This window comes from Homo sapiens, chromosome 6, assembly GCF_000001405.40.
Source record: "Homo sapiens chromosome 6, GRCh38.p14 Primary Assembly".
Classification (NCBI taxonomy): domain Eukaryota; kingdom Metazoa; phylum Chordata; class Mammalia; order Primates; family Hominidae; genus Homo; species Homo sapiens.
In genome coordinates this window covers 46,686,212-46,704,781 of record NC_000006.12, presented here as the reverse complement: position 1 = coordinate 46,704,781, position 18,570 = coordinate 46,686,212, and the positions used below count along the sequence as shown (strand labels likewise).

At 38.4% G+C, this 18,570-nt stretch overlaps 2 protein-coding genes and 1 long non-coding RNA gene across 10 annotated transcripts in view; 2 read left to right on the top strand and 1 right to left on the bottom strand.

The window, feature by feature from the left end:
• The window catches only part of PLA2G7 (phospholipase A2 group VII), a 31,521-nt gene extending 30,940 nt beyond the window's left edge, over positions 1-581 (top strand). For all 4 annotated transcript variants that reach the window (XM_047419359.1, XM_005249408.5, NM_001168357.2 and 1 more), the window contains one exon: positions 86-581. In XM_047419359.1, the coding sequence (XP_047275315.1) occupies positions 86-222 (137 nt within the window). In that variant the 3' untranslated portion in view covers positions 223-581. The remainder of the gene's footprint in view (positions 1-85) is intronic.
• TDRD6 (tudor domain containing 6) overlaps positions 463-18,570 on the bottom strand; it is a 24,052-nt gene continuing 5,944 nt past the window's right edge. Inside the window, exons 1-4 of one of the 3 annotated variants that reach the window (NM_001010870.3) lie at positions 10,608-16,897; positions 8,837-8,961; positions 6,695-6,784; positions 463-2,924 (exon numbers count right to left, since the gene is read on the bottom strand). In NM_001010870.3, coding sequence (NP_001010870.1) covers positions 2,895-2,924; positions 6,695-6,784; positions 8,837-8,961; positions 10,608-16,653 — 6,291 coding nt within the window. In that variant the 5' untranslated portion in view covers positions 16,654-16,897 and the 3' untranslated portion in view covers positions 463-2,894. Of the gene's footprint in view, positions 2,925-6,694; positions 6,785-8,836; positions 8,962-10,607; positions 16,898-18,570 lie in introns of those variants that run through there. The other 2 variants (NR_144468.2, NM_001168359.2) reach the window with 2 other exon arrangements.
• Positions 16,617-18,570, top strand: part of TDRD6-AS1 (TDRD6 and SLC25A27 antisense RNA 1) — a 17,722-nt gene continuing 15,768 nt past the window's right edge. Inside the window, exon 1 of one of the 3 annotated variants that reach the window (NR_134643.1) lies at positions 16,617-16,848. This is a non-coding gene — a long non-coding RNA (TDRD6 and SLC25A27 antisense RNA 1). Of the gene's footprint in view, positions 16,849-16,948; positions 17,183-18,570 lie in introns of those variants that run through there. The other 2 variants (NR_134644.1, NR_134642.1) reach the window with 2 other exon arrangements.

Sequence of the window (18,570 nt, the reverse complement as noted above, 5' to 3'; positions counted from 1 at the left end):
TAAATCTTTATTGCCACCTAGGGGCACCAAACTGTTTAATGCTCTCAAAAGTTTAATATGTTGATTAACACTTTATATTTTATAGGACTTCATAAAGATTTTGATCAGTGGGACTGCTTGATTGAAGGAGATGATGAGAATCTTATTCCAGGGACCAACATTAACACAACCAATCAACACATCATGTTACAGAACTCTTCAGGAATAGAGAAATACAATTAGGATTAAAATAGGTTTTTTAAAAGTCTTGTTTCAAAACTGTCTAAAATTATGTGTGTGTGTGTGTGTGTGTGTGTGTGTGTGAGAGAGAGAGAGAGAGAGAGAGAGAGAGAGAGAGAGAATTTTAATGTATTTTCCCAAAGGACTCATATTTTAAAATGTAGGCTATACTGTAATCGTGATTGAAGCTTGGACTAAGAATTTTTTCCCTTTAGATGTAAAGAAAGAATACAGTATACAATATTCATATCAGCCTAAATTTTAATTTTAAAGATGATTCCTTTTCAGTGTCGAAGTTAAAAACTGTTTTTACATTACTTTGACAGACAAGTAGATTAAAACAGGCAAAATCCCAGTGAAAACCTGTTGCAATGATACAAGACTCCCTAAACATAGAGTAAAAAACAATTTCTTGCCTTTTATTATCTACTATGGGCAGTGGAGTTTAATTATAGCAACATGATATTCTAGGTAGAATTTGGCAGCTCTTCTCTTTGACTTTTGGTCACGGTAAGAAAAATTAGAACAAGCAAAAGCCATTGTTTCAGCACAGGATTGGTGGTACTACACAATTTCAAATGATGACTAAAAGGAGTAGAGAAGGGTTAAGAATATTAGAGATGAGGCAAAGGCAGTGGATTAAATTGGTAATTTTTTGACACTTTCTTTAATTCTTTAAGGCATTCTACTTGCTAAAGAAAGGTTCCACAGGTATTACAGCATATAGCAGGGATTCCAGTTAGAATACATTAGTTACTCACACAAAGGCTGTGAAGGATAATAAAACATTCAGAATTACATTTAGCTTCTTCATATTCCAGTTAATTTTATTTAATGTTTTCAATTCTATATGTAGTAGTAAAACAGAATAACACGATTAAATGGAGGTAAAAATATAGCTTAAGAATTTATACTTATAAATATGGGAATCATGGAAAATGATTTTATTTCCCAGGGGACATAAAAATTTATACCACTCATTTGGTACCCTAGTCCTATCTTAGTGGTGTCAGGTGCAAAGTCACTCATTCTGAGAAATTTTACTTCTGTAGCCATTCAGATTAAATTTTTTAAAATAGGGAGTTAAACTCAGCTTGAAATTGAAGGCTTCCTATAATCTGATCCTAATGCATCTTCTCTGAGCTTTGCTTCTGGCAATTCACATTATATTATCTATATGAGTAAGCCAAACTTGTCTATTCATTATTCCAGGAATAAGTAATATACTCATCTACCTCAATTACTTTTAATGCAAACCTCTCTCCCTTCTACTTACGGAAATTATAATGGGTTTTTAAGGTTCATAATTCTATTTCCATTAGGCTTCAGAGTCTGATAATGCTTCACAGAGATACACCTTTACCCCAGTCTCATTTAGCAAACCTTTTCCCTATTCATTTTAGAAATAAGCATTCCAACTGTATGGATGTCCCATTCAACACTTTTTTGTTTGTTTGTTTTTTACAGTCTTTTGTTGGTGGCGCATGCTGATGCTGAAAGGAGAAAATAACTATTGAAAATATCTAATAAGTTAAGGTTAAAAAGAAATAACCTAACATAGTGCACACTGAGTATTTTTCAGGGTAAAGAAAGACACATTTATCAAATGCCTACTCCTTTTCAGGGACTTTATATCAATTATTTCTCATCTTAAAAAAACACTGCAAGAAAGGTTTTATTATCACCACTTTACAGATGAAGATCAAAGTTCAAAATATTACATAATTTGCCCATGTCACATATCTGTTAAGCAGCATATAGCTCAGATCTGTTTCTAAAAGCTAAGATCTATGCTTTGCAAAATCATGTTTAAAAAGTCATGGGCTTCAAAGTTAGGTAGGTCTGGGTTTGATCAAGCCTCTGAGACTCATCAGCTATCTGACCTTAGGCAAGTTATTTAACCTCTTTATGAAGCTTCAATTTTCTCACCTATAAAATATGGATAATATTGATATGCACTTCAAAGTTGATGAATAAAGTGAAAAAATGCATTTAAAGTATAAGCTAAGTGACTAATACATAAGAGCTAACATTTAATATTACTATGCTTTCCCCAATCCTCCATTACAGAGGAGAGATGGAACCAAGTATATTTAAGAGTTCTATTTCCTTTTTAATAAAATGAGACCATCATATTAAGGATAAACTTTATTTAAGGATAAACTTTATTCAAATCTTGTATTAGAATACTTCCAAATTCAAACAGAATGTTAGTCAAATGTTTAGACAAACAGGCAAAGATTCAAAGTCAAGACAAAAATTCTGAAGGAGATCCTGCTAAAAAGCTATCCTAAGTAGAATCAAATAATGTACTTGTCATGAGCCCTTATTTTTCTATTTTAATTTAAACACTGTATTTGAAAGGTACCAAAATAGTTTTTGAAATGTAATGTGTTAGTAAACTGTTTAGCAAAATAAATCCTCCCAACTAATTAGAAACGTAAGACAATAAAGACGAAAGATCCCAGATCTGTATATATAACAGGATCACTATAAACACACCCCACCATCAACCTGAGACCTAATTTGTTTTCCACCTATATAGAAGTTTTTGAAAATGACAACTTCTTGTGGTTACATGTTTTCAATTTTCTCAAATACTCTGTTGGTCTGCGTAAGATGCCACTTGTTCAAGGGCAGCTTCTGACTGATTGGCCACAGCTATAGATCCACGGTTAAATCTCCATCACCTCCAAACCCCTTTTCTGAAACAAAAAGAGAAAAACTTCAAACTGAGAAAGAAACATACAAACAAAAAAATTTATTTCCATGGGTGTTACCATGACAAATGTAATGTTCTCTAAAAGGGAGAGGGGACAGATGAGTATTCTAATTACTATAGGGCATTATTTCTATAGAAACAATGTTTTATTTTCTTATTAATATTTTGGTTCTCACACTGTACCATCAAATCAAGTTTCTCTAAAAATTATGAAATTGGCATATTTTATATTTTGCTAGAGAATGGTGTGAACAAGGCTGATAATCAATTAGTTCTTTTTCCTTTTTGATTAGTATATATTTTTCACATGATATTAAAGCTACCATTAGCTGATTTTATTCTCAATGTGCCTCAATTCTAAGAACCACTGCATTATTTATGAACAAGAATGTGCAATACCAAGAACCAGCCAATAATTTGAATCTTATATAAACTAAAGATTCAGAAATTCCAAGAGATTATTTAACAAATATCATTTGAACATATGAGCTAATTAACAGAGAAAATTCTTTAAAATGTGAATTTATCACATTCATAATTTAACTTTCAAGATTAATTCAATTAATAAATTTCCTATATTTCAAGAAATCCTCATCTTGGGTTATTTATCTCCATAAGTATATTTAAATTTTTTTACCTAAAGTGGTTTTTCTTCCCTGCTACCTATGTCCAAAGAAATTGATAAACCATTTTTGTTTGAGGGATTCAGCATAACAATATTTTTAAGAAATTGTAATTCTGGGTGATAAAAGTATTTTGTTTTAAAAACACAAGTTACCTTTAATAGTGGTATCACCCACTGACATGAAGTAAAGATCTTTCCCTACTCTTTGGGATACAGCCTAACAAAAGGAACCTTTGAATTGCTATTGATTCTTTATCACGAGTACAAAATAATTCAAATCAGAAATGGAACCACAGATAAGCCAGAAAAGATGTAAACAACAAAATGTATTTCTATCAAAATTATGACAATCTGATTTTATAATGAGGAATCATGTCAAGTACTTTTTCTATTCTTCAAATACTCATTTCTCTAGAACATATCCCTGGAGCACTCTACACAGGGAGTAAAGTACCCTTTTCCAATGTTTAGCTCTCAAATCCCCAACAACTCTGGTAATTGGTGAAGGAGGGAGGGACATCATTGTTCAAGGGGCTGTTATTCAAACACAGTATCCATGTAGAGCCACAGATGCTTTATTAAGGACAATGAAAAGGGAAATATTTCTCCTATATTCCTTTTAACAACCAATAGCATCATGTGCATGCATTATGTGATACAGTAACTAACAAAATACTCTTATGGTAAAATAAAATAACTCAGATAAGAAACCATTTTTTTAAAAAAAGTAATTAGATTCCTAGATCATAGTGACTTGATGTATCATTAAAAAAAAGTCATGCATAATACAACACTCACTTTGTAAGGAAAGCTAGCTCATTTGTAGACAGGTATCCAGAGTTAAGAGCTTCCTCGAATTTGAGGGAAGGATATTTAAATCTCATTAGTAACCAAATCAAAATTTTTAGAGTCTTACTCATAAGTAGTTTCTATATGTCTGCTAACTGGCCTAGTCAAAGCCAGAGGTAGTTATCTATTTACTTATCTAGATATATAATTTTATGTCTACTTTAAATAGTTCTTTTCTATGTAGCAGGCATAGAGAACTTTATCCAAACTGAATCTTGTATGTACATATGTATGCATTTGGCTGTGGATTCTTCATAATTAATGGATGGAGACAACCCAAATGTAAAAAGTTTTAGTAAATACTGATGCAAAAAGTGTAGTAGGCTGGTATTTTTGACCTAAGCAAAAAAGTAATTAACATAAAGAGAGATATTCATTGATTTTTTATAGTAAAAATTTCAAATGACCTAAATATCCAACACTATGGGAAATGGTTTAATACATTATGGCTCACTAGTGTCATGCAGCATTATTTAGCTATTAAATATTGTTTATGGCCTTCTGGGTGCAGCCAAGATGGAATAAGCTGACTATAACCTCTTTCGCTGATTACAATGAAAAATTCTAGACAGAATATAAAAAGCAACTACTCAAAGACTCAAAAGTGAACAGAAATAGGTAGATTAAGAATTAAAGTAAAAACGTGAATAATGACTCACAACAGGAGTGAGTTTCATAGGCCTTTTCTTTTCTTTTTTTTTACTTCTTTGTCTCCTGATTTTGATCTGAGGGTGGGCCAAATCAAAACTGCCTAGCTAGCGTAGACAGCAAAACTCTGAGAGAAATTTCTTATTTATAGCCAGTGGACTAGGGATAAAGGAACCCTGAATGCTAGAGAGTAAGAAATAGGTAGGAAATCTCTTTGCTGTATTGTGGTGTTATGTTTATTTCTATTTTTTTTTCTGGCCCTGCCCTGAGGGTGGCTAACCCCAGTTACTGCCTGGTGACAGCTATGGCAACATAGGCACCTACAAATGTGAGAGATGACCCGTCTCTCTAGCCAGTGGAACCAGGAAAAGAGCTTTCTGTCATCTGAAGAATAGTAATAGGAGATTGTTTTTGTTATCTCTTTATCTGCTTCGCTCTTACGGGCAAACAGAACTGTGTGGTGGAGCAGAGGCTGAGAGAAAAATACTGTCTGGCTAGGTGACCAGAAAAAGGGGCCATTGGAGGCTGGATAAGAGAGGATCCTGGGAGCCAGAAAATGTGGAGGACATCTCAGAGAGGAAAGGAGTTGAAAATGTTTAACTCCTAATGCTACATGTGAACTCTAAGTCTCAGGATTGCCCCTGAGCTATGCACATGCAGAACAGAGCCAAATAAGCACAGCAAAGTCTTTGACACTTAACTACTATATAAACCACTGACCAAAGTCCCTGACTACCCTGGGTGGCTTATGTACCTGGAAGACCTGAACAACAAAGGCTTTGAAAACTAAACTGACAGGACAATCACCAACCACAGAAGGAGAAAGAGAACATGTAGGATGAATTGAAACCAGCTGATCATCTGCTGTAACAAAAACTTCAACATTCTCCAGATTTTAACAGGACCCAATGTCTTAAAACATAATATGCAAAATGTTCAGGATATAATCCAAAATTACTCAACATACAAAGAACCAAGAAAAGCTGACCATTTCTCTAGGGAAAAGAAAATCAACAGCTACAAACCCCAAGATGACCAGATATTAAAACTATCAGACAAAGATTGTGAAGTGAGAAGTTCAAGAAGTCCAACCAACCCCAAACAGGATAAACTCAAATGCCCAGACACATCATAATGTCATGGCAAATTGCCCACCATATAGTCTTAAATGAAGAAAAACAGAATATAAAACTATACATAGGATGAAATCAATTGTGTCTAAAATATGTAGATGAAATACTTATATTACATATAAACAGAAAAATTATAAAAGAAAACCAAACTGGTCAACCTATTTGTCTCTGGATGGGTATATTATCGGTGATTGTTACTTTCTCATTTTTAATATTGTTATATTTCTCAGGTTTTCTGCATCTAATATGTATTTTATTAGAGTCATGAAGACCAAAACATTTTCTAATCAAGGAGTAAAACATTAATAACTAGTTTTCTCAGAAGAATACTTGGCATAAGGACTAAAATCACTGATTTTGTTATTGCTGTTTTTAACTATTGTCACAGGATTTTTCTCCCATTTTTCCAAACACAAGGACTTTGGAAATAGTTTGTTAAATCACCTTTCAAAATGAAGAACAATGCTCTCACTAATTACTATTTATAGAATTCCATACCTCAGGTGGACTCTTATCCAATTTGGGTATGCCATTCCAGACATTCTCAGGGTTCACTATCTCCTCCATACCATTTGAAAGGTTCAAAACCTACAGGAGAAAACAAATTTTTTTAAAGTGTCCAATTCAAAAAAATAACTGATTTATGTACCAGAGCAATTATTTTAAAAATGAAATACTATTATTATTATTATTATTTTGAGATAGGGTCTTGCTCTATTGCCCAGGATGGAGGGCAGTGGCAGGATCAGAGCTCACTGTGACCTTGACCTCCTGGGCTCAGGCAATCTGCCCATCTCAGCCTCCTGAATAACTGGGACTACAGGCGCACACCACCATGCCCAGCTAATTTTTTGTATTTTGGATAAAGACAGGGTTTCACTATGCTGCCCAGTCTGGTCTCAAACTCCTTGGCTCAAGCGATCCACCTGCCTTGGCCTCCCAAAGTGCTGGGATTACAGGCATAAGCCACTGCACCTGGCCCTAAAATGAAACACTTTAAAAGACAATGAAAATGAATTTATTGAGCTTCAACCTTATGTTTCAAACTCCATGCTACTTCAGTTTCCCAAACATATGTAGAGTATCTATGACTGGTGATCAAAGATGGATAAAATTTCAACATCAAATAGTTCAAAATCTAGTGGAGAAAAGACCTCTAAGCAGATAATTACAATACACCATAGGAAGTTCAGACTTCTGTAGTAGGAGGTATAGGATTGTAATACAGAAATAAGGCTTTTTTTGGGATGGGGGAAGGTTGAGGACAAGAATAAATTTAGAAAATAACATCAGTGAATGCTCCCTGGTAGAGGCAATGGGTAAGTAAATTGGAATTAACCAGTTTGGTAACAGGATGGAATATAGGTAAAATAGAACTGCAATATTAAATATATCGAAAGAGCAAGCAGATGGTATATGTAAGAGAAGTCAAGAATTTTGATGTCCATTTAATATAAAGTACAAAATATAAAGAATTAGGGCCAAAGAGAGTACATAAACACTTAACCCTAGAGGATTTCCTATGCCATGTTAATGAGCTTGACTTTTATGTTCCAGGCCAGGGGCTCTCCAATTTTAATGGAATATGAATGCATATTCTGGAATCCTAACCCCAGAAATTCTGAATTAGCAGTCCAGGCCAAGGCGTAGGAATCTATAATACAATTTAAAAAACAGCCGGGCGCAGTGGCTCATGCCTGTAATCCCAGCACTTTGGGAGGCTGAGGTGGGCGGATCACAAGGTCAGGAGATCGAGACCATCCTCGCTAACAAGGTGAAACCCCGTCTCTACTAAAAATACAAAAAATTAGCTGGGCGTCGTGGTGGGCGCCTGTAGTCCCAGCTACTTGGGAGGCTGAGGCAGGAGAATGGTGTGAACCTGGGAGGCAGAGCTTGCAGTGAGCCAAGATGGCGCCACTGCACTCCAGCCTGGGTGACAGAGTGAGACCCTGTCTCAAAAAAAAAAAAAAAAAAAAAAAAAAAATATATATATATATATATATACACACACACACACACACACACACACACACATATATACATATATATACACATATATACACACATATATATACATATATATTACATATACATATATATATATATATATACACACATATACATATATATATATATACCAAGTAACTCTCGAACAGGTGGTTTTCAAATCACGGGAGAAACACGATCAACAGGCTCCCTAATAAGTTTTACACAATAATGAAGTAATCAAATTTACATTTTACAAACTTCACCCTGACACCATGGACAATCAATTTAAGGAAGACTAGAAGAAGCAAACAAAATAGAAGGTTATTAATGTAGTTGTGAAATGACTCAACTAAGGTAGTGGCATTAGATATAAAAAATTCCAACTAAGAGATAAGATGTGTAAAGTGTGGAACTAGGTGACTAATAGCATTTAGAAAGAGTAAGGGAGATAGATGATACAGCCTAGGATGATTTCTTGCTACGATTCTTATATATGGAGATTTAAAATATATGTGCATTACATCAAGTTATCAGGGGGAACAAGCAAGTAAACATTTGTTCAATCGCGTTCTCTAGTCTGACAGAGTCTGGTAAACTTTCCTTAATAGTCTGCAAATACATTTGGAGATAAAGTACTTAAACATCACTTACCCTTGTTCCTTCTTCAGCTGTTTCTAAAATCTCACATTTAGACCATGTGTTTCTTAGACTTGACCACACAACACATTTAGATCCAACAGTAAAGGCTTTCAGAGTGTAGGTGTTCTGTAGTTGAGCTGCCAAATTGAATTGAGTAAGACTCAATGCATATCTCTTAATTCCTTAATGTAACATACACAAGCAAAGCATTTTCCTAATCTGCATTATTTCTATATCATCAATATCATGTAATTAGTACATTGGTATGACTGTCTCCCTCAATTTTGTTTAAAATTCTTACAGTGCCCGCCCCCCCATATAATCTCTTATTGCTTTTCTAAACCAACAAACCAAACAAAAAATCACCACAAGGATGTGAATTTGATTTCTAACAGTGAAAATCGCTAATAAAATATGGTACTATTAAGACAAGTGGTGTTTTTTATACTTACAACAGCCATTTCTATAAGAAAGCAGCATGTTACAAATGAGCAGACATTCTTATCACAGAGTTAATACTATTATTAAATATGACAATGAGGAATAAATATCTAATGCAAGGGTAATACTTAAATAACTTATGTGTTACCCATAGGATGGCATACCATGCAATTAAAATATTTTGAAAGCATTTTTAAGGGACTAAAATGCAGGATTCAATACTGTATGATAGTATGATCTAAATTGTTTTTAAAACTATATAGTAGACATACACAAAGACAGTAAAAGACAACAAAAAGAAAATACATCATGGTGTTAACATTGATCACTTCTTGTTGATTTTCATTCTCACTATTCCATTATTTTCCTTATTTTTACAATGGTTCAAATTTAATAATATAAAAATTGACATTTAAAAAGTATAGCATTGATTATAAAAAGCTAAAAGTTACCCATTTAACAATTCTTTTTAAGTAGCAAACAGTAGTAAAAATAATTTATAAAAAAGTTAATAAATGTTCTCCAAGATTTACACATGAAACAGTTTTTGATTAATATAGGCTACCTAAATCTATTTTTTTTCTTTAAGGGTTTCTAATGAATTGCAAGATCAATGCATGATACAGTTAAGTCTAAAAGACCCTGTTGAAATAATCCTTAGTGTAAATTAATGCCTGTAGTAGTGCCATAAATTTGGCAAGGGAATACCATGTTTTATAAAACTTACCAACACATGCCCTCTTGATTATAAATGTGATTACATTTTAAATGTGATTACCTTTTGGAGACTAATAGATTTCAAGCATTCAACTTTTAAACACAAAACTAATATTTCAGTGTTTCTTCCAGCACATATTTTGCACTGATTTCACAATATATTTTCCCCAAGTTTAAAATGCCCTTCATAAAATCCAATCTGATTCACTTTCCAGGTTTTTAATCTCTTACAAAAAATTATTTTTTAGAAATCCATATAAGAATTATTCTCTTTTCTTTAAAACAAATAACAACTCTGGAAAGTCACTATGTTAAACTTAAAAGTAAAAGCACACTTTGGGAGGCTGAGGCAGAAGGACTGCTTGAGCCCAGGAGTTTGAGACCAACCTGGATAACATGACAAACCCTGTCTCTACAAAAAACAGAAAAATAAGCTGGGTGTGGTGGCACACACCTGTAGTCCCAGCTACTTGGGAGGCTGAGGTGGGAAAATCACTAGAGCCTGGGAGGCAGAGGCTGCAGTGAGCCAAGATCACACCACTGCACTCCAGCCTAGGTGACAGAGCAAGACCCTGTCTCAAAAAAAAAAAAAAAAAAAAGTAAAAAGGAAAAAAAATTCACATACCTGAGATATGATCTGGTAAACCATTATTGTGCTTGCTTCCATCACTGCTTTCTTCCTCAGAGAACAAAGGCATCAATGCCGAAATGGCATCCCTGTTTTTATACTCTACAAATTCTTCTTCACATATATTCATTTCATTCTGTGTTTTAGGATCACAATCTGCTCCATGTAGATGCAATGACATCCTGCGCTGGTCATCAAAAGATTCTACACAACTTGACTTTCTCATGTCCTCAGTACACATGGATTCCTGTGCTTTCTGACTAACTCCTAAAGACAAAGGATCCATCTTGTCATCTAAAGGCAGCTGGGCTGTAGGTAGTTCTAGTTCTGGCTGTTTCTCAGCTTCACAGCTGAGAGGAAGCTGCAGTGTAAATAGCTCCATGGCGCCTTTTGTGACACACTCTTGGGAGAGTGGCACATTCGGTGGCACCGGGCTTAGCTCCCCTTTTTCTTCATCCACCACCAGAGAATTCTGTAACTCAATAGATTCCAGTTCTAAGAATTCTTTTGATTCATCATCAGGAGAAAGCGGCACCTCAAGTGAATTCAGTTCTAGTATCTCCTTTGTTTCATTAGCATGTGGTAGTAATGTGTTAAATCCTGTAATCAGGTATTTATCATCAAACTCTGCTTTGTCAACCAGATGGCACTCTAATTCACCTTCCAGTTCCTCAGTATCAATTTTATCTTTGCAGGGGTTTTCAAACCCTTCACAAATGTTATCAGTTTTAGGGTCACGGAAGTTACTTGGTTTGGTTCCAATAATGTTTACATCTTTTTCAGTTATTTCAGCAAGCTCATCTGTCTGTTGTTCCATATATATTTTATTTTGTACAGCTTTATTACTTAATTTCTTAAGTCCTACATCAAGATTGTAGGACCCAAGAGTCTGCTTTATCTCTGAGTCAATATTTTCATAGGGAAGAGCACTTTTAATACCAGTCTTAGAATATTTCTCCATTTTCTCATTAATACTTTTACCTTTGCTTTTCAAGTCAACAATTGCTAAAGGGATATCACAAACATCCCTTCTGATTTCTAGTATTGTTATTTCCAACACATCTTCTGTTATTATTTCATAGAAATAGTCATTTCCCTCTTGAGAACATAATCCTTCTGAAATGTTAAACCCTGAGAGGCAACATGGAAAGGCTTGCATGGGAACCGACAGAAGTTCAGAAGGAATGGCCCAGAGTGCTTTTGGGTCCACACAGTCTTCAATGTTTCCAAAGTCCACAAGCCTGACAGATACAAGATAATCTTCACAAATATTAGTGATAAGTGCCCTATAATAATGTCCATCTTCTCTGTATCTTACTATACAAGGATCTCCAATATAAGGACATGGGATACAATTTCTCCTGTCTGCTACCTGTTCTCCAGCAGTCTGTACTTCTACTTCTAAACACTGAAGTTTCTCCGTATCAGCAAACTGACACCAAAAGTACTCAGGTCCATCTATCACAGTGGCATAAGCTCTTATCATTTTTTTTTCTGGATTATACCAGTTAAGAAATACTGAAGTGTCAATGTCTGATTTGTTAACAGACTTTGAACTGGCACTTTTAATTACTTGGGTAGAAAGTTCTACTTGAGATTTTTCACTGAGAGCATACCTGCTAATCATATCATCTGCTATGATCCCATGTTCATCAGCAAGAATAACTTCCCATCTGTCTTGAAATTTAACAAATTCACATCTTATTGCAGCCTCGCTGGTCCGTTGGGAAAAGTAATGCATCATTTTCTTAGAATTTTTATTGTCAGGAACCTCAAATCCCTGCAAGGAGCAATGAATGCACAACCCCGGCAATATTGCATTAACAAGGTCAAGCCTACCTATTTTGTTAGTATGAACCACAGAAACATTGCCATAATCTATAAACTGCACAGAGAGAAGGTCATTGGGTTGTTGCTCCTTGATCACAGCACGATACCATAAATTATCTTCTGGGAAAACAGCACATATCATATCTCCTCTTTGCAAAGGTGGACCTACATAATATTCGGGCCTTGTTTTAACACTGTTTAATCTCTCTGAAAGATGACTAATTTCAGCTTCATCTTCTATTAGTTGAACATAAAAGTCTGAAAGGTCATTTATATGAGAAACATATACAGTTGTTTTAAATCCAGGCATTATAGTCTTCTGTGGGAACTCACAAAATTTCAGAGGCAAATCTTTGTCACATGAATCTCCTATTTTTCTCTCTGAAAGAGTAGCTTCTACTCTTGCTGTTTTCAAGGGTGTCTCAGCAGAAATTTCTTCTTTCTTTTCTGTTGTTAATGGAAACACTTGACTATTTTTATTTCCCACAGAGTCTTGATATTGAGTGACTAAGTTTGTTTTTGTTAAACTTTGTAAAAGTTTGAGTTCCTTGTATGATGAGTTGATCTGAGGTTTATATGACTCTTCCAAAATTTCTTTATTAGGTAACTTGTACCCTACTGATTTACTTAAATACTCTGTACATGGCAACTTCATATTCTCATTTTTTTCTTCAAGAGTTTCAGTTGTAGAACAGAGGACTTCACTTTCTTTTTTTCTTATTCTATCTTTGTAACTAAGTAGCCCCAACTTCTTATTAATACTAGCACTAATTTGAATATTGTCACCATATAGTTCTATAATCAGTGTTCCATCTGGATCTTTTGCTACAACTAAAGCCTTCAATGACTTATCTAAAATAGTCTCCTGAAACCACACCACCACTTCTTCTGGTATATGATCAGGAATATCAGATAATGAACATCTGACAGCTTGCATGGGCAAAAGTAAGACATCATATGCATCACTAGGTATTGGAAGCAGATCATCACTTGTTACTACATAAATATTCCCAAAATCAACAAAGAAGACTTTCTTTGGCTCTTTCTCTATTACTATGCCCCTATACCAGTTTCCATCAGTATACTTGGCAAGGCACAAGGTTCCAGGGTTCAAGGGAGATGTTTTTAAATTCAGCAAAACTTTACTTAATTGTGTAATACTACATGACAACTGTTCTAAAATATTTGCATTTCTTGCCAGCTGGCAATAAAATGTCCAAGGGTCATCAATATGCGTTATATAAACTAATTCTTCACTTCCAATTTTCATATCATGTGTAGAATAGAAGTAGGAATGTAGCTGAACAGAGGACTCCAAAGGCTTCTGAAGTTTTACTGGTCTTGCAAGTCTCTTTTCTACCAAGAAATGGCATGCACTCTGAAAGGGGGTTAGCAAATCCACAATGTTAAACAGTTCTTCATTAATTGAAGCCAGAGCAAATATTGTACATTTTAATTCTAGATTTTTTTGCCATGCATTATCTATAAATTCATTGAAAGCTTGTATTGCCTTTACATCCCAAACAAAGGGATTCTGGCCAACTGGTTGAATTAAATTATAAAGACTGCACCTAAAAGCCTGTGCCTTAACCTTCAGAAATTCTTCACTAATTGAATAAATATTCTTCACAGATACCATTTCTCTGTCTCCATAATCTACAAATGTTACATTGACATGCTCCACAGACTGTATCCCACTAATAAGTGCTCTGGACCACTGTCTGTTTACTGTTCGCTTAGCCAAACAAGCAAGGGTGTTTCTCTGGTGAGGAGCAGCTGTATTTTTGCAATAGTACTGAATATCAGACATTAGAGTTTTAAGTCCTTGTATGTTCCTGGTCAGCTGACACCAGAAATAGCCAGGGTTTTCAACATAAGACACTCTGACTTCTACTGTACTTCCAACTTCCAGCTCTCCTTTACTAGAGGAGCCTGGCTTAATTTCCAAGCAATTCTGCATAAGAGGAAAATAAACAGATGCTCTTTTCACTTTTTCCTGCACAACTAGTTCAGTTGAACCATTTGTTACAACTGTTGTGTCACTCAAAGCTTTTGAAACAGATGTGGTTTTATTCTCTCTCTTGGCTTTCTGCTCTCCTTCTCCAGTCTTGGCAAAAGGTATTTTGTTACTCTCCGTAGTAAAGTGGTTTGAAACATGCCCTGGGGAGTGGGCATTTACCAGGATATTTTCCTTTGTTTCAAATTCCTGATACTTGGCATATCCAGCTTGGGCAATTACCTTACTAATGTTTTCTTCCCCTGTTCTTGATTCGTCAAGAATCTCAATAACATATTGATGATCCTGTTTATCAAGAATATGGATGACTAATTCTTTGTGGAGCACAGTCTTTTTAAAAAAGGAAACTGCCTCCTGGCTCCAAGTTTTTCCCAAAGGCCAAATATCAGCCAGGGTGCACTTCACAGCCAATATTGGTAGCTGCCTAAACTGAGGAAGCAGCATCCTTACGTCATACCAGTCCACATTTTCCGAATTGCCTCGGTCAACTAAGAATACATCCACACTCTTGTCATCCAATTTGGTGACTATGGCCCTATAATAACCATTTTCTTTCCACTTGACACAGCAAAGGTCATCAGGTTCAGGTTTCAAAACTACACCATCCAGCTTACTGGCAGAGGAATAGAAACCACACATTCTCCTCATCAGCTTACTGAAGGTGACATTGTGTTTCCTCAACCTAATCCAAAACTCAGAAGGATTTTTAACAAACTCTACCTGCGCATCGTAGAAGGCATTCATCTTTAACCTGATAGATCTTAAGGCTGGGAGTGAAATCTCTTCATCTACTTCTTCAGCAGGAGACTGAGACTGAGATGTTTCTGGTTCCTCCTCCTCTGTTGCCTGGCTCTGAAGGACTCGGTCAGCCAAGCAACACGACTGTACTCCAAACACACGGTTCAGATTAATCCCATCTTCTCCATACAGGCTGACATAATACACATGCTCAAAGGAGCAATAAAATTCAATCTTTGCATTCACTGCCTTGCCTAGTATCAGTGTCTTCAGGTCACCGACCTGTGACCGAGACCAGCCTCTCCCACCGTCCCAGAGTCCATACAAAGCACAAGGGTAGGTCACCACCGGCATTCGAAAATATTCAGGCAGCAAGTACCGAAGGCTGCTGCAACTCACTAACTCCTTCCTTCCATAGTCCACATGAAGCACCTGGGCACAGCGCTGGGGCCGAAAAGTCTCAAGCAACAGTGCTCTGTACCAATGTCCATCCAGGCCACAGGATGCACACGGAGAGCCCGGCTTATCTGGGCTCTCCTCCCTCTCCTCCCAGGTGGCACTGGTAGAGTTCTCATCCCCTGTCCCCGTGGAACCCCGGTATACCTGGGCCATGCTCTCGGAGAGGCGGTGGATCTCCTGCGAGACGCTGCGGAGCTGGCAGTGAATGCGGTGGGGATGGCACACTTGGGTTATGACCACGGCCTCCGTCACGCCCAGCTGCAGCTGGGGATAGAAGTAATCCAGACCAGGCTGCTTTTGCTTGAGCGGGACTCGCGAGAGAACCGGGACCCCGGAGCCCACGCTAGCAGTGGCCGCTGTGAGATAGCGCTCCAGCAGCGAACGGAAGAGGCTGTCGGGCACCCGCCGAGCCAGGCCCAGCTCCCGCATCTGTTGGAACACATCAGGCACCTCCAGGAGGACCAGGCGATGGAGCAGCAGCACGTCCAGGACGCACCCGTGCACCTCCTTGCCCTGAAGGTTGCTAAGGAAGTCCACGGCGTCGGCGGGCCAGTGCTGCGGCGGCTCGCCTGAGCCCGCGCCGCAGCCTGCCGGCACCAGGCCCGCTAGCACGCAGCCCAGCACTTCCGAGGGCAAATTGAAGAACTCTCTGCGCCCAGGCGCCAGCGAGCCTGCTCCGGCCGTGATGGTGCGGCCCTCGTCCAGCAGGAAGACACGGCTCTCCTGTGCCTGCCGGCTGACCACGCGGCAGCGGTGCCACAAAAGCCCGACCTGCACCAGGCACAGCTCGCCGGGCGAGGCCGAGGCGCTGCCCAGCGCCCACTGGCCGCGCGTGGCCGCCGCTTCCTGGATTTCCCGGCTCAGCCGCAGGTACTCGCCCCGCCGCTCGCCCACCAGCCCCCACAGCTGCACCGGGATCACATCGGGATGCACGTCCACGAAGGACACCCGCAGGGCCAGCGAGGCCCCCGGCGCCGGCATTCCGGGCGTCGAGCACATCTTGACGGCGCGGCGCGGCCCCCACTTCCGGAAATTAAGGGCCGCGCCTCAGGGCCTCGAAATCCTCCGCGCCGCCTGAAGGCGAGTCCCAGCCAAACTAGGTTCAAAGGACCCAGTGGAGGGGAAGAATGCCGGCGAGGCCTTTTCTCGGCAACTCCCCCGTCGAGGGTCCTCCGGGACTCCCGCCACGGACTGGTAAGACCCGGTAGCCCCTCCAACCGCCCGAGGTCGCGCTTCCGGGCACGCATTTACCTCACTCGGCGCCGCCACTTCCGGCCGCGGAGAGTGGGCGGGGCCAGCCGAGGCCTGGGGTTGGCCTAACGCCTAAGGGCCCAAGGAGCTTGTTGGGACGTTCAGGAGACCCCGAGGTGGGAGGTTTTGGACACAACCTGCATCTCCTCAGAGCGCCTTCGACTCTGGAGGCCGCCGTGTGACGGCCTGACACAGGGCTGCGGTGAGGACCGACCAGAGAGGGATTTCCTTTTCGTCCTCCCAACTACCAGGGATTGAGCACTGGGGGCCAGGCAAGGTACTAGCCAGTGGCGTTCCCGACGGGAACGAGAAACGCAGGAGCCAATGGCACGTTCCTAGGCGTTAAGGCCGGAACTCTAGGAGGGCCCTGGGTGCTGCTGCGGGGCACGGGTGCTCCTGCTGGCTCAGTGTGTCCGTGGACAGCCAGGTGCTCAGCCTCTATTCTTTAACCCTGTTCCATCATCTGAATTGATAAGAGTTGTTATGAGGTTAAAATAACGTGTGAAAGTATATAGCAACTGGTACATATTTCCCTTCCCACACTTAGCTGATACGGGTTCCTTTGCTCCTTTGCTGTCTAACTCTGGCATCCCAATTTTGAAGGCATTTTCATTTACTCACAGAGCTAGCACAGAACTGGATTCATAAAAGGAGGCCAAGAGGAATGGAATCAACATTCCTTCAAGCCCCTGCTGTATATACTAAAATCTTAACAGGATAACCCTTTGAGGCCTCTGTTAAATGTCCAAACCTCCATTTGGAATGGAAAAGTGCAGGCAAACTAGAAGTTTCCAGGATATGTCTACATTAGATTTTTGTTCATTTGCAAAGTTAGACACATCCGTGGAAGCTTCTTATAGTCTGCCTGTACTTTTCCTTTCATTCCACGTTTCGAAATGTCATTACATACAAATACAACAAGGCAGTGCTTCAAATGACCCTGGCCTAACTGTAAATCTCAGTGTCTTCAGTCTGTCCAGATTAGAGGCAACCATGTGCTTCCACATCACCCTATGCTTACTTTTTCACGGCACTTTTCACATTGTGTGGCAACTGTCTGATCTCTATCATCCCACCAGCCGACAGGTTCCCTTTGGCAAGTACCGTTTGTTGGATTCTCGGAATCTAGCTTGGAGTGAAGGCAATGAATATTTGCTAAATGAATATGAATGAATGAATGAATGAATCCAATTTCTCTAAAAGCCAAAGCTTTTCTTTTCCTGAAGAACTCATCCTTGAAAACTCAATTTTCCCATTTTTTTTCTAATTGTTTCATATTCATTATGGAAGAAAAACATTTTATTTAAAAACATCTAGCAAGACCTAGCTCAAACGTCGTTTCCTCGTGACCCTACTATTCAACCTGGCAGAATTGGTTATTCCTTTTTTTTTTTTTTTTTACATACTTCTATATTATTATATTTTGTAGCTCTCTGTTTGCCACAGTAGGAACATCTTAAAAGCAGGAACACTTCTCATTTATTTTTATGTTCTCGATGCCTAGCCAGTGCTGGACTGTTAGCATCCAGTAAATCTTAACAAGAGTAAGCAATCTAACACTATGGCCTTTACAGTGGAAAGAAGGAATTCATTATAAAATGGTCTTATGATCACTTGAAATTGTTTTATCATTACATGGAATAATGGAGACTTTAATCCATCATC